The 16,884-nt window shown below is 37.6% G+C and overlaps 1 long non-coding RNA gene across 13 annotated transcripts in view, besides 1 other annotated feature; it reads right to left on the bottom strand.

The window, feature by feature from the left end:
* Positions 1 to 16,884, bottom strand: part of LOC105375523 (uncharacterized) — a 459,019-nt gene that overhangs the window by 234,670 nt on the left and 207,465 nt on the right. The window lies entirely within an intron of this gene.
* Positions 6,829 to 7,029: a silencer, noted in NCBI's record as "peak6755 fragment used in MPRA reporter construct". NCBI's record gives its function as "represses an SCP1 promoter by STARR-seq MPRAs in K562 erythroleukemia cells {active_cell/tissue: K562}" and the evidence as "EXISTENCE:reporter gene assay evidence [ECO:0000049][PMID:32103011]".

Below are 16,884 nucleotides of genomic sequence, written 5' to 3'. Positions count from 1 at the left end.
TCTTCCTGTAGGCATAAAAATAGAGTAAAATCTTTATATTTCCTTGTACAGGTATGTGCATGTATACATATTTATTTGTATGTGTACTTAATGTATATTAACAAAATGGCACATATAGCTGGATTATCAATTAAAGAGCATTTCCCAAAACATGAACTCTCAATTTACCACTAAGAAGAAAAATGAGAAAAGACAAGAAGAAAACTAATAAACCATTAAATTAGAATATGTAAAGCAGAATAACCAAATATAAGTGAAGAGTCTGGATCTGAATGGCAAATATAGAAAAACAGAGCTGAAAACAAATTTCGAACAGGCCACTAATATCCAGTTTGTTACAAGTGAAGTTAAAAGACTTCGCAGTAAGTTTAAGAACAATGGGAATGAATAAATCTGTCACTTATAAATTATTATAGTGGTGATTAAATTTATAAGAGTTTTCAATCAACCATAAGTAAGTATACAACTCTTACTCTGGACTGTTACAAGCACTTATTATAACATATTGATTATTCTTATCCTGTTTTAAACATTTTTTTCCAAGGACTGTACTCAGGCCAATCCTGGAAGCCAATTCCTCTGTACAATAAAGTCACTTATAATAGATGGACTTACATTTTGAAAGAATGTAAAGATGTTATAAATAAAATATGGATTTACTAAGATAGCAATAAAATCAAAGGTAAAAATTAATGCCAAATGTGTACAGGACTATCTAAATTCCCTAGTAATAAAAAGATAAATTTCATATTTTCATATGAAATAAAGAAACTGTTTTTAAGTGATAATATCCAGTTTGAAAATTATTCAGGAAACTGGGTACTTCTACATGTTGTTATTAAGAGTACAAATCACTGGAAACCTCATGGAGGACAATTTGAAGAAAAAATTATATATACATATATTTGCTATACATATGTATGTATAACAAAATCATATATACCTATATACATATGTATGTTTATGTGTATACAGTCATGCACTGCAAAACGGTGTTTCAGTCAATGAGGGACTGTGTATACAGTGGTGATTCCATAAGATTATTATGGATCTGAAAAATTTCTATCACCTATTGATGTCATAGCACAAGTACAATACTCATGTGATTAAGAGGACATTGGCACAAACAAACCTACTGCACTGCTAGTCATATAAGAGTATCACATATACAATTGTGTACAGTGCCTAATACTTGATAATAATAAAAGACTATGTTACTGGTTTACGAATTTAATATACTATACTTTTTATTATTATTTTATCAGTATTCCTTCTACTTATAAAAATGGTTAACTGTAAAACAGCCTTAGGCAGGTCCTTTAGGAAGTATTCCAGAAGTAGGCATTGTTATCATAAGAGATGACAGCTCCATGCATGTAATTGCTTCTGAAGATCTTGCTCTAGCAGAGCAAGACGCGGAAGTGGAAGATGGGGATACTAATGATCCTGACTCCGTGTAGGCCTAGGCTAATGTGTATGTTTGTGTCTTAGTTTTTAAGAAAAAAGTTTATAAAGTAAAGAAAATAAGAACTTTTAAAACAGAACAAAGCTTATAGGACATATAGAAAGAAAATATTTAGTACGGTTGTACAATGTGTTTGTGTTTTCAGCTAAGTGTTATTTACCAACAGTCAAACGTGTAAAAAATTTAAACATTTGTAATGTAAAAAAAGTTACAGCAAGCTAACATTAATTCATTATTAGAGAAAGAAAAAATATTTTTTATAAATTTAATGTAGCCTAAGTATACTTTACAGTATTTATAAAGCCTATAGTAATGTACAGTACTGTCCTAGGCCATCACGTTCACCCAGAGTAACTTTCAAGTCCTGCAAATTCCATTCATGGTAAGTGCCCTTTACAGGTGTACCATTTTTGTATCTTCTATACCATATTTTTACTATATCTTTTCTATCTCTTGATATGTTTAGATACACAAATATTTTAACCGTAATGTTAACAACTGCCTGCAGTATTCAGTACAGTAATGTGCTTTAACGGTTTGTAGCCTAGGAACAAGGTGTTAAAGCATATAGCCTAGATAGTAGTCTATATCACCTAAGTTTGTGTACCTAAATTCTATAATACTCATACAATGACAAAATTGCCTAATAACGTATTTCACAGAATATATTTTCATCATTAAATGATGCATGATTGTATCAAGTGTATATGTATTTATATTTAACACAAACACATATATAGTTTGTTAAAGCTTCATAGCCTTTGACCCAGCAACCCCACTAACAGGAATTTTTCTCAAGAAAATAATTAAGAATTTTGTTCTGGGTATGTTTATTGCAGTATTTTTATGATAGTAAAGATTTAAAAACAAAATAAATATTCAACAATAAGACATTTTTAAAGCAATTAAGATATTTTTGCTAATCCAGAGTTTAAAAATTAGAGTATTTAACTCTAAGTTCAAAATATTTATTTTATATACAAAAGGCAAGTTATAAAAATCATCAAATCTGTTCCCTTTTGCCAATGATGTATTTTTCTTGACAGCTATATGTATGTATAGATATAAATTCTAAAGATCATTTATAAAATATATCTTTTTAGAACAATCAATGAAATGTAGCATATCACATTTTCTAGAAAGAGTATACATTACTTCAAATGAGAACAAACAGTAACTGTTTAATGAACATTTATCAGGAACATTGCAGAAAATAAACAAGACATTATAAAGAAAACAATAAAATCAAAAATGATTGAAAAGTGGCTACAACAAAACAGCAGAGGTATCCAAAACAAGATAATATTCTGAGCAATTTTATGATGTTAAATTTGAAAATATTTAAATTAACAAAATGTACTAAAACATCTACCATAGGAAATCAACTCAGAATTCTCCAGTTGTGCAATAATACTAAAATAAACTGGACTAGGGAAAAATTATCAGAGAACTATCTCCCTAAAAGGTCAAATGGTTTCATGGCAATACTCTTGAAATTTTTTAAGCATAGATAATCCCCTTACTATGTGAACTGTTCCAGAGCAAAAATATTAAGTCACTTAATAATTTTGTGACATATTAAACCTGAATAAGATATATAAAAAGCATACGCTTTTCTCACAAAACATGAATCCTAAATCAATATTAACTCATGTCATAAATCCTAAATCAACATGAACCCAAAATAATAGTTCAGCAATATTAAAAGAATTATATGCCATAATTAAAAAGGATTCACCCACATGTATAAAGATTATTTGATATGAAATATTAAGAAACCTATTAAGATTATGCAATACAAAATAAAGTTCAAAGAAAATTACTATCTCAAAAACTTTATTAAATTCCACACTAATTCCTATTTTTAAAAGCTTTTCGAAAATAACACTTAAAGTAGAATATTTTAATAAATAAAAGTTTAAAAATTTAACTAAGCTATTGAAACAAATGAAGATGTAACATCTCTCTGTATTGATAAGACTGAATATTGAAACATTTTAGTTATCTGAATTGATAGGCCTATCATCAACTTAAAATGCCAGATAACTTCTTGGAACTTGATAAAATTATTCTAAAGTTTATTAGAAAGAATGCTTTAATTATTAATTTTTTAGTGAGTATCATAACAAGAAATTAGAAGGCAGATAAATGGAATAGAGAGAATATCCTGAAGCCATGTGGATTTATTATTTAATAAAAATAATATTATAGCTTAATGGGGAAAGAATTATTCTTTAAAATGAGTTGGAACTTTAAGGGCTAATAATAATAGCTCTCTTATGTCCATCTGAATAGCAAACCAGATGGGAATACCCAAGAAGCTGAGAGATGACTATCAAAATATCTTTTGAGTACTTTTGTTACTGATAAAAGATGGATTCAAGAATGTGGCTTTGATATGTGGTCCAAATGAGCATCCCCAAAATTCTCCCCACAATTAAACTTTCTTACATACAAACCTGAAAAAATACAGGGAACTCCTGTATGACCATCTTCCTGGTGGCATTTGCAGAGAGTAGATCAGAATGTAGATCTTCAGTAGATAGGAAATGAGTGAGAGGAAAAAGCCAGCATGTTCAGCTTCTCTCCTAACTACCTTTCAGATTCGTCCACCTTTCCTCAGCCCCTGGAGAAGTGAATAAGGTTTAGGGGCAGGGAGCATTACTCTAATGCAATTCCCTCAAATGGAAAAATGAGGGGGCCAGGCACGGTGGCTCACACTCGTAATCCCAGCACTTCGGGAGGTCGAGGTGGGCATATCACTTGAGGTCAGGAGTTCAAGACCACTGTGGCCAACATGGCGAAACCCCACCTCTACTAACAATACAAAAATTAGCCAGGTATGGTGGTGGGTGTCTGTAATCACAGCTACTCAGGAGGCTGAGACAGAAGAATCAGTTGAACCCAGGAGGCGGAGGTTGCAGTGAGCTGAGATCGCACCATTGTACTCCAGCCTGGGCGACAGAGCCACACTCCATCTCAAAAAAAAAAAAAATAAAATAAAACTGAGGGAACACATAAAGGAAGTAAACTCTAATAGCTGAACACTCATGGAGTGAAAAGACAAAGTCAATCCTTATTTCACATCATATATTCTATCTGTAAGTATTAATTAGATTAGAATTGTGGTTTTTATAGAATTGTGGTTTTTATATTAGGCAGTGGTTTCATACCATGCAGTCAAGTTCTATTTATTCCATAGCATTACCTTGGAGACACTGCAGGAGAAATACCAGATCCTAGGCTTCTCCCTTTACTTTTGCATAAGTAACTATGCTTGTATCACTTCTACACACTCGGCTTTCCAAGTAAAGTTTTGTTTAAAGGAAGGCTCAGCTAAAAAAAAAAAAAAAATTAAAACACCACCAGACTAAATACTTATAGGAAATAAAATGTTTAAAACATATTTTAAACTATAAGAAAATATACATAGACGAGGATTAGCTTCAAGATGACTGACTAGAGGCATCTGGCACTCACCGACTCCACAAAATAGAACCAAAATAGTGAGTAGATAATCACACTTCAAATAGAGAATCTGAGAGAGAACACCGGAATTCAACAGAAAACTGACAGAAAACACCTGAGGCACGGAAGGAGAGAAAATCAAGGCAGCCAGCTCAGGATTAGCTGGGAGTTCTGAGAGGCTTTCCAATATGGGGAAAGCTTAAGTGAGAGATCCCTAGCAGTCCACATTCTCTCTGTGGCTCCTGAAATCTAACCATGGGAGAGCCCCTCGACCCTTGCAATCCCTGAGACTGGAAGAGTGAACAGCCCAGAGTCCAAATGATGGCATTACTCCAGAGAGGGAGCTCACTCTGGGTCCCATACATCCCCCAAGATCCAAGCAAGTACAGCATAGCACCATTATGAGAGCTCAGATCCCACCAGACTGCATCCTGACAGCCCCTGCATCTCCGTATCCCTGGAGCCCTACTGACATCCTCTTGCATCCACCCAGAGGGCTGCAGTGGTGCAACACCAGTGGATCCAGCAGTTAGGCAGGATGCCCAGCATTCTAGCTCATACAATGTCCTACAGTCCAGGGAATAGGCAGTCAACACACCTGGAAGGCTTCCCCCTGGGACAAAAGAAAAAAATGTGTGCACTCCCCAGAGCCTGAGAGCCGCCTGCCACTGAGAGCAACCCTGCCCTCACCAGCATCAAGACCATAGTGCACTTGCACACACCCTAAAGACAAGTTATCCCTGCTCATTACCACCACTGCCATCATCTCGCAAGCATGCCTCCTGGTGACCTGGGGATCACCCAAGCCAGCCCACCACAGCCTGCACCCATGCACATCACTGGGGGGCCTAAGGACAGACCTACCCAATCTGGCACTGTTACCCACAGTGGCAAAGCACACTGCCCAGAAGCCTGGGGATTCCCCGACCCTAACCCCACCAATTACCGTGGGCATATGACCAGCAGACTTAACAACAGACACAGAACACCTGCCACTGGTGCCAAAGTATGTCATCTGGTAACCTGGAGATCACCCTGCTGGTTCACCACCACTGGCATCTGCACTCTTCCCTGGGGCCTGAGGACAGGCCCACCCAACCTACTGCCATTACCACTATCAGCACCCACCCTCACCCGACACCTGAAGGCTTGGAGGCCAGCCCATCCAGTCCACTGCTGCCACCACTAACATCAGTATGTGATGCCCAGGGAGGCTACGTTTTGTCTAGCCATTTCTACCGTCATTGCCTATACATGCTGCCCAGGGGTCCAGGCAGCCTCTCACTCACCCAGTCAACCATTAACACAACCACACCCAAGCAAGCTACCTGGAGGCCCATGAATTAGCCTACCACATGCCTGCATTCATTGACCAGAGGAGCAAAGAAAGGCATGCTCCACCCACTGATGCCACAACTGGGACCCAAGGACTGGCTCATTTAGCATCCCTGACCCCAGCAAAGCTTCATCACAGCCTCCACTAATAACCACAGCCTAAGCCACTGAGGTTATGACAGACACCACTGATGCTATTTACAGCCAAATAAATCATTTAGAGACTACACTACTGTACACATCCAGAATCACACCTAATGTGCCCTACACAACCAACACCATAGATACACCTTTAAGAAAAATCTTCCCCTACAAAAGACAATTCAAAAAACTGGAAGACATGATTGTTACACTAGATGTGCACATATTGAAATAAGGACAGAAGAAACATTTAAAAATCTAGAGAATATGACACCTCCAAAGGAGCACAATAATTTTCTAGCAAAAAATTTCAATGGAAAAAAATTATGAAATGCTTGGTAAAGAATTCAAAATAATAATATTAAAGAAGCTCAGTGAGATATTAAAAACACAGATAAAAAACACAAAAACATTAGAAAAAAATTCAGGATACGAATGAGAAATGTATCAGAGATAGATACCTTAAAAAAAGAACCTAAAAGAAACCCTGGAACTGAATAATTCAATGAATGAAATTAAAAATACATTCAACAGCTTAAACAATAGATCAAGCAGAAGAAACATGAATATAGGTTTCTGAAGTAACCCAATCAGAAAAAAAAAAACAAAGAAGAAAGCCAACATTGCATATGGGACATCATAAAGCAACCAAATATACAAATTTTGGGTATTTCAGAAGGTGAAGAGAAGAGCAAAGGCATTTTTAAAAAAACCTATGTATTGAAATAATAGCTTTAAACTTCTAAAGTCTGGCAAGAGATTTACACATCCAGATACAGGAAGCCCAGTTATCCTGATAGAGTTTGAAGATGGGTGCCTGCCCACATCTCATGTTGAATTGTAAACCCCAGTATTAGAGGTGGGGCCTAGTGGGGGGTGACTGAACATGGAGGTGGATTTTTCATGAATGGATTAGCACCATCCCCTTGGTGCTCTCCTCACAATGTGAGTGAGTTCTCATGAGACCTGGCTGTTAAAAAGTCTGTATCTCTCCTCTTTCTCTCTTTCTCTCTTTCTCTCCTCCTCTCCTCCTCTCTTCTTCTTTTTCTTCTTCTTCTTCTTCCTCTTCCTCTTCTTCTTCTTCTTCATCTTCCTTCTCTCTCTCTCTCCTGTTTTAGCCATGTGAGTTGCCTTCTCCTGCTTTACCTTTCACCATGAGTAAAGCAGCTCCCTGAGGCCTCCCCAGAAATAGATGCTGGAGCTATGCTTCCTGCACAGCCTGCAGAACAGTGAGCCAATCTTTTCTTATATATTCCCCAGTCTCAGGTATTTCTTTATGGCAATGCAAGAATGGCCTAATGCAGATTCCCAAGTAGATACAACACATAAAGTTTCTCCAGGGAACATTATAGGAAAATTGTCAAAAGTTAAAGACAAGAAGAGAATTATAAAAACAAAGAGAAAAGCATCTAGTCACCTATACAAGAAACCTCATGAGACTACAGTGAATTTCTTAGCAAAAGCATTACAGGCCAAGAGAATGGGAGGATAGGATATATTCAAAGCACTGGAAGAAGAAAAAATGTTGACCAAAAATACTATAACCCGCAAAGTTGTCCTTTATAAATGAAAAAGAAATACAGTCTTTTCCAGACAAGGAAAAAATAAGGGGATTCATTGACACTAGACCAGACCTACAAGAAATGTTTAAGGGGTTCCTATATCTGGAAGTGAAAGTATCATCAGAGACTATTATATACAACCATATGCTATTGAACTGAAAAAGCTAGAGGAAATGGACACATTTCTGGAGACCTACAACCTACCATGACAGAATCAGAAAGAAATAAAAAACCTGAACAGACCAGTAATGAGTAGTGAGACTGAAAAAGTAATGAAGTTTCCCAAAAAAGAAAAGCCCAGGACTGGATATATTTATAGCCAAACTCTACTAAATGTATAAAGAAGAACTAATACAACTCCTGAAACTTCCAAAAATTTGCAAGAGGAAGAATTCTCCCTAAATCACACTATGAGACCAACATCAGGCTGATACCAAAACCAGACAAGGACATAATAAAAAAGGAAAACTAAGCCCAGTATCCCTGATGAACATAGATGCAAAACTCTTCAACATAATAGTAGCAAACTAAGTCCAACAGCACATCAAAAAGATAATATGCCATGATCAAATAGGATTTATACCAGGGATGCAAGAATGATTCAACATATACAAAATCAATAAATGTGATACATCATATCAATAGAATAAAGCACAAAAAATCATATGATCATCTCAATAGACACAGAAAAAAATTGATAAAATTCAACATCCCTTCATGTTGAAAATTCTTGACAAAGTAGACATAGAAGGAACATATCTCAAAATAATAAGTCTGTATATCACAAACCCCAGCCAACATTATGCTGAATGGGGAAAAGTCAAAAGCCTTTCCTCTAAGAACTGAAGCAATAGAAAGACACATAACTTCACCACTCATAGTCAACATAGCACTAGAACTTCCACTCAGAGCAATTAAGCAAGAGAAAGAAATAAAGGTCACCCAAAATGGAAAGGAAGATATCAAATTAGCCTTGGTTGCAGATAACATGATCTTATACCTAAAAAAAACCCGAAAGACTCCACCAAAAAAAAACCCTTAGAGCTGATAAATAAATTCAGTAAAGTTGCACAATACAAATCAATATACAAAAATTAGTACTATTTATATACACCAATAGTAAACAATATTTAAAAAAATCAAGAAAGCAATCCTACTTACAATAGCTAGAAAAATATTAAATACCTGGGAATCAATGTAACAAAAGAAGTGAAAGTTCTATAGAAAGATAATTATAAATCATTGATGAAAGAAATTGAAGAGGACAATCAGAAAATGAAAAGAGATTTCATGCTCGTGGGTTGAAAGGATTAATATTGTTAAAATGGCAATACTTCCCAAAAAAATTTATAAATTCAATGCAGCATTCCTCTTCACAGAAAGAGAAAAACAGTCCTAAAATTTTTATGGAACCAAAAAGTGCCTGAATAGCCAAAGCAATCCTGAGAAAAAAAGAATAAAGCTAGGGGCATCACAATACCTGACTTCCAAATATATTACAAGACTATAGTAACAAAAACAGCATGGTATTGGTATAAAAACACACGCATAACCCAATTGAATAGAATCGAGATGCCAGAAATAAATCCATGTATTATGGCCAACTCATTTTCAACAAAGGAGTCAGGAACATACACCGGGGAAAGGTCATCTTCTTCAATAAATGGTGCTGGGAAAACTGAATATCCACATGCAGAAGAATGAAACTAGATCCCTATCTCTCACCATAAACATAAATCAACTCCAAATGGATTAAAGACTTCAAGTTTAGGCCCAAAACTATAAAAGTACCTGAAGAAACACAGGAGAAACACTCCAGGTCATTGGCCTAAGCAAATATTTTATGGCTAAGACTGCAAAAGCACAGGCAACAAAAACATAAATAGACAAATGGAACTATAGTAAACTAAAAAGCTTACTTCTGCACAGCAAAGGAAAAAATCAACAGAGTGAAAAGACAACCTGTTCAATGGGAGAGAATATTTGCAAACATTTCATCAGATAAGGGACTAATATTCAGAATATACAAGGAACTCAAGTAACAGCCAAAAAACAAATAATCCCATTAAAAAGTAGGCAAAGTTTCTGAATACACATTTCTCAAAAGAAGACATACAAATAGCCAACAGCTATGTAAAAAATGTTCAACACCATTAATCACCAGGGAAATGCAAATCAGAACCACAATGAGATATCATCTTACCTCAGTTAGCGTGGCTATTATCAAAAAGACAAAAAATAGCAGATACTGGTGAGGATGCAGAGAAAAGGAACATTGTTGGAGGGAATGCAAATTGGTACAGTCATTTTGAAAAACAGTATGGAGATTTATCAAAAAACTGAAAGTAGAAGTACTATACAATCTAGCAATTCCTCTATTGGATATCTATTTTTAAAAAATCAGTATATCAAAAAGATAATTGCATCCCCACATTTATTGCAGCACTATTCACAATAGCAAAAATATGAAATCAACCCAAGAGTCCATCAATGGATGAATGGATAAAGAAAATGTAGCATATATACACAATGGAATACTACTCAGCCATAAAAAATTCCTTTCATTTGCACCAACATGGATGAAACTGAAGGTCAATAATGTTAAGTGAAATAGACCAGGCACAGAAAGACAAATATTGTAAGTTCTCACTTATATGTTGGAGCTTAAAAATTAGTATCAAGGAGGTTGAAAGTAGAGTGTTATTAGAGGCTGGGAAGGGTTGAGAAGGGGAATGAAGAGAGTTTTGGTTAATGGGTATAAACATAGAGTTATATAGAAGAAATAAGGTCTAATGTTCAATAGTTGAGTGGGTTAATGATAGTTCAAAACAATGTATTATATATTTCAAAATAGCTAGAAGAGAGGTCTTGAAATGTTCTCGATACATAAAAATAATAAATGCTTTAGGTGATGGATATCCTAAATACTCTGCCTTGATCATTAGACATCTTATGCATGTAACAAACTATCACAGGCACCCCATAAATTTGTACAAACATTATGTATCAATTTTTTTAAAGATAATGCACATGAACATTTTCCCTCTCTGAACACATGAAGATTTTCCTGGCATAAACAATTGAAATTTTAAAGACCTAGAAATGATAGCAGTAGGTAGGTAGGTAGGTAGATAGACAGACAGACAGGTAGGTAGGTAGATCGATCAATCGATCGATCAATAGATAGATGATAGATCGATCGATAGATGCACGTAGATACATAGATGCAGATTTAAACAGACAAATATCAAAAGCTTGTGTACTTCCTAAAACATAATAAACAAAATGAAAAGGGAAAAAGCAAACAACAAAAATATTTACAACAAGGAATTCAAATGAAAAGTTGATTTCCTTAATATATAAAGACTTACTACAAATCAATAAGAAACAGTAAAAAATCTTACTTGGAAAAAATGGGCAAAGGGCATCATAGAGAGATAGGTTTTCCAGAGAATTGGGGAAGTGAAGGGAGAGTTATTGCTCAGGAACTCTTGGGCAATGACTGCATTCCCACCCCACCCCTAGGTAAGGATTTAGGCCACAATGTGCTCAACAGTGTCACCAACAGTAACATGCCCCTCAGAGAATAAATGTCAAGAGAAACAAGACAAAGGATGCTTAATAGGCCTCCTCTCCCTGCAGCCACCTATGGTAAGCTCTAAATTCTTAGCCAAGTAAGGAGTTTCCTAGGGCTGCCTTAACAAGCACTACACGCCTGGTGACTTCAACAAAAGAAATGTATGATCCCACAGTTCTGGGGGCCAAAAGCCCAAAAAGTCAAAGTGTTGGCAGGGTTGGTTCCTTTTGGGGACTCTGAGGGAGGGGCTGTTCCATGTCTCTCTTCTAGTTTCTGGTGATTGCTGGTGATCCTTGGTGTCCCTTGGCTTGTAGACGCATCACTCCAATCTCTACCTCCATCATCATGTGGCATTTTCCCCTCTGTGTGCCTGTGCATCTCTGTGTCCACATTTCTCCCTTCTTAAAAAGACACCAGTCATGTTTCAGTCATACAGTGTGACTTCATCTTAATTTGACTATATCTGCAAAGGCCTTATTCCAAATAGGGTCATATTTACAGGCCCCAGGGGCTAGGACTTGAATATATCTTTTTGCAGGGAGGGGGACACAATTAGACCCACAACAAACACCAAGAGACCAGGAACTTGGAGTAAAGATGTGTTGTGATCCCTTCTCACCAATCTGTAAACATACTTGGCAAATCTCTACACAGGAATAGACAGTTCATAAAAGGATTGGGCCAAATGTGGAGACAGAAATATAGGTAGCCTCATTATTATTTAAAGATATACAAACTTTAAAAACAATGGCTGGGCGCAGTGGCTCATGCCTGTAATCCCAGCACTTTGGGAGTCCGAGGCGAGTGGATCACTTGAGCCCAGGAGTTTGAGACCAGCCTGGGCAACATGGCAAAAACCTATCTCTACAAAAACATACAAAAATCAGGCTAGGCATGGTGGCTGACGCCTGTAATCCCAGCACTTTGGGAGGCCAAGGTGGCAGATCACTTGAGGCCAGGAGTTCGAGACCAGCCTGGCCAACATGATGAAACCCTGTCACTACTAAAAACACGAAACTTAGTCAGGCATGGGGGCACACACCTGTAATCCCAGCTACTCCGGAGGCTGAGGCAGGAGAATCGCTTAAACCTAGGAGGCTGAGGCTGCAGTGGGCTGAGATTGCACCACTGCACTCCATCCTGGGCAACAGAATGAGACCCTGTTTCCAAAAAAAAAAAATTAGCTGGGCATGGTGGCATGACTGTAGTTTTAGCTACTTGGGAGGCTGAGGCAGGAGGAGGAAGACCACTTGAGCCCAGGAGGTGAACAGAGGTTGCAGTGAGTCGAGATCACACCACTGCACTCCAGCCTAGGTGACAGAGCCAGACCTTGTCTCAAAAAAGAAAAAAAAAAAGACACCATTTTTACTATAAAATTATCAAAGACTAAAAGAGGTGGCAGATCACTTGAGGCCAGCAGTTCGAGACCAGCCTGGCCAATATGACGAAACCCTGCCACTACTAAAAACATGAAACTTAGTCGGGCGTGGGGGCACACACCTATAATATCAGCTACTTGGGAGGCTGAGGCAGGAGAATCACTTGAACCCAGGAAGGTGGAGGCTGCAGTGAGCCGAGATCATGTCACTGCACTCCAGCCTGGGCAACAGAATGAGACCCTGTCTCAAAAAAAAAAAAAAAAAATTAGCTGGGCATGGTGGCAAGCCTATAGTTCTAGCTACTCAAGAGGCTGAGGCAGGAGGACCACTTGAGCCCAGGAGGTGGATAGAGGTTGCAGTGAGTCAAGATCACACCGCTGCACTCCAGCCTAGGTGATAGTAGTGTCAGACTCTGTCTCAAAAGAGAAACAAAAAAAAGGACACAATTTTTACTATAAAATTAACAAAGACTAAAAGATAACACAAGAGATGATACAGAGAAATTCAGTCCAGAGGGAGGCAGTGGCAGTGTTGAAGGGACATGTTCAGATGTATAATGATCCTGAAGGACAATTCAGAAATAACTATCAAAAAACCTCCATTCAAATCATTGCAATATTTATTGCATATTCAAATATGCATTCAAATATTCAAATATTTGTTGAATACTTACTTTGCACCAAGCACTGTCCTAAGGCTTCTAATCCAGTAATTCCACTTTTGGAAATGTATCTGTGATAGTTAATATTGAGTGTCAACTTGATTGGATTGAAGGATGCAAAGTTTTGTTGTTTTTTTTTTTTGAGACAGAGTTTCACTGTTGTTGCCCAGGCTCAGGCTGGAGTGCAATGGCATGATCACAGCTCACCACAACCTCTGCCTCCCGGGTTCAAGCGATTCTCCTGCTTCAGCCTTCCGAGTAGCTGGGATTACAGGCGTACGCCATCACGCCTGGCTAATTTTGTATTTTTAGTAGAGACCTGGGTTTCTCCATGTTGGTAAGGCTGGTCTCCAACTCCTGACCTCAGGTGATCTGCCTGCCTTGGCCTCCTAAAGTGCTGGGATTACAGGTGTGAGCCACCGCGCTGGATCAGATGCGAAGTATTATTCCTGGGTGTGTCTGTGAGGATGTTGCCAAAGGAGATTAACATTTGAGTCAGTGGTCTGGTAGGGGCAGACCCAACCTCAGTCTGGGTGGGCACCATCTAATCAGCTGCCAGCATGGCTAGAATAAAGCAGGCAGAAGAATGTGGAAGGACTTGACTTGCTGTGTCTTCTGGCCTTCATCTTTCTGCCACGCTGGATGCTTCCTGCCCTTGAACATCAAACTTCAAATTCTTCAGTTTTGGACTCTTGGACTTACACCAGTTGTTTGCCAGGGGCTCTCAGGCCTTCGGCCACAGACTGAAGGCTGCACTGTCGGCTTCCCTACTTTTGAGGTTTTGGGACTCGGACTGACTTCCTGGCTCCTCAGCTTGCAGATGACCTATTGTGGAACTTCACCTTGCGACCCTGTGAGTCAATTCTCCTAATAAACTCCCCTTCCTATATACATATATCTTATTAGTTCTGTCCCTTTAGAGAACCCTGACTAACACAGAATCCAAAGAAAATTAGTAGACGTGCAAATATTTATATTAGGGAATCTATTACAGTACAAAAATGCCTAAATGGTAAGCAATAGGAAAGTGATTAAATAATTTATGCTACATAATCAAAATCATACAATAGAATGATGAAAGTAAAATTAAAGAGTAGTTAAAGTCAAGAAAAATTTTACTAATTTTATGGAAAATGGGATAAAATATACATTCACAGTATGATCCCAATTTCTGTATATATTTTTATGTTTAGCCAACATATTTATTTAGCATCAAATATGCGCTAGGACTTACAAAGAGGGAATCTACATGATATGTTGGTAAGATTAAAGGCCAACTTATATTTTCTTCTATTATTTTTTTCTCCATTTTACAGAAATTGCTGGAGAACAGCTTCTACACATGGTAGAGTACTTGGTGTTTTAGCCATGAATAAAAATGTATCCTAAGATGAAATGGAAGAATAGAAGTCAGAAAAAAAAATGTAATTTCAGTTTCAAGTACTTTCTGTTTAACAAGGGATGGAAATTTGAATTTGAATTCACATTTGAATTCACCTTTAAGGGCAGGCACTTTATTTGGGAAAAAAAAAAAAAGAAGAAGAAGAAAAGCTGTAGCAAATCTTCTAAATTATGCATGGGTAAAGAGAAAACTGTGCTCAAGTGGCAAAGTTTGGAAAAATCCGAGATTGAAAATCTGAAAAAGGCTAAATGGAAAAGAGAGGAGAGGGTAGCATTTTGGGGAGAGGATATTGCTTTTGAGAGAAAAGGGTTGAAACTTGGGGGAAAGGAGAAAAACAAAAGGGATATTTATTAGTTCCTCAGGTTCTGTTGCACCCTTTAGAAGAAGAGGGGGTGGCCAAAGGGTAACAGAGGTTTTCACCAAGACTGAATGCAATTCTGGGCTAGGCTGAGCTCCCTGGAGGCCCAGCTGGCCACATATACCTGGCTGAGTGTTGGAGCAGGGCCTGCCTCTGGATGGAGCCCTGACGTTTCTGGACGGTATGCACAGCACAGATACCAATGTTCTCATAAGTACGGGCAGTGATGGCTTTCCAGGTAGCCTGCGGCCAATAGGCATGGGCAATTGAAGCAGGAGAAGTAAGAGAGAAGTAAAACGCATAGTCTGGACCAAAATAAAGATAAGGGCACTCTGAAGTGGGCCTGAGGCTTTGTTAGCACACAGGAGAGGCTTAAGGATTTATGATGAAGACATAACTATTTCATAGTCAAAGGCTAATTAAGGCAAGGGACATGAGTTCATAGCTCCTTCAATTTCCAACTTTGGCCACATTTTCAACAATGAACCTGCATGTACTGTAGAATCAGAAAAGATAATTTAACACCCCTTCTATTCGATAGTGCTCTCCTGCCTTGAACTGCCCTTACTTCTCCCATTCAGAGCAAAGACTTTTTAAAGAAACTCACCCCCACTTCCTAATGGTCAACCGAAAGGGTTCTTTCCAGCCATTTTCTTTTTTGTCTTCTTAGTCACTTGAATGCTGTTGACCAGCCATCTTTCCCATAACTTCTCCCCTAATGTCCCTGACTCTACTCTCTCCTACCTCTCCTCCCACCACTCTATCTGCTTCTTGCTTGTTTTGGGGGGTCCTCTTCTTCTACAGTCTACCTCTTGGAAGTTTGTGTTTCTAACAGCTCTGGAGTGGGTCATCTTCGCTTCCTTTCTACATTCTTTCTCTAGGCCATCTTCTCCATGCCAATCTTTAAACCCTCGTGCCTTTATTTGCTGCTAAGTCTGCAGGGCCTGGAACAGCTCTTCAGACACTAGAGGTGTGTAATATGCAGCGGCTCACCTGGCATATTTGACATTCAGTGCAGATCATTATTTACCACTCCCTCCCTCTACACAACAAAATTGTTTCTAGTAATCATCATGAAATCATCAGTAGTCATCATTATTTTCTTGATTTGCTTTTTAATGTTTATGCAATGCACAATAAAGAATACATTTAAATTTTAAAATATGATTCATGTTCAGTAAAATATTTCATATATGAACTAAAATTAGGACTTACCAGTTTCATGCTCTGTTTTACTGTTTTAAATTCAAACACAAATTAAAAATTCCAGGTTGTCAAATGGTATGACAGAATTGGTGTAACCCAAGTTCTGTTTCTTCTTATTCACCATTTGCTGTGCTAACATTATTTCTTCCTAATCTACTGTTTAAATGCAGAAACATGTAGTATCACAGGGGATGGAAATAGGAGTTGCTCTCAAAGCGAGTTCAAACTATTATAAACTTACTCTTGAAACTAATCATGCAGTTGACTTCACACATGTCAGGGGCTGAATATATAACAGGAGTTCTCCAAATTAATAAAGAAGATAATGTT

This window comes from Homo sapiens, chromosome 7, assembly GCF_000001405.40.
Source record: "Homo sapiens chromosome 7, GRCh38.p14 Primary Assembly".
Classification (NCBI taxonomy): Eukaryota; Metazoa; Chordata; class Mammalia; order Primates; family Hominidae; genus Homo; species Homo sapiens.
Note: the sequence above shows the minus strand (reverse complement) of the source record. Positions and strands in the feature narration are given on the sequence as shown.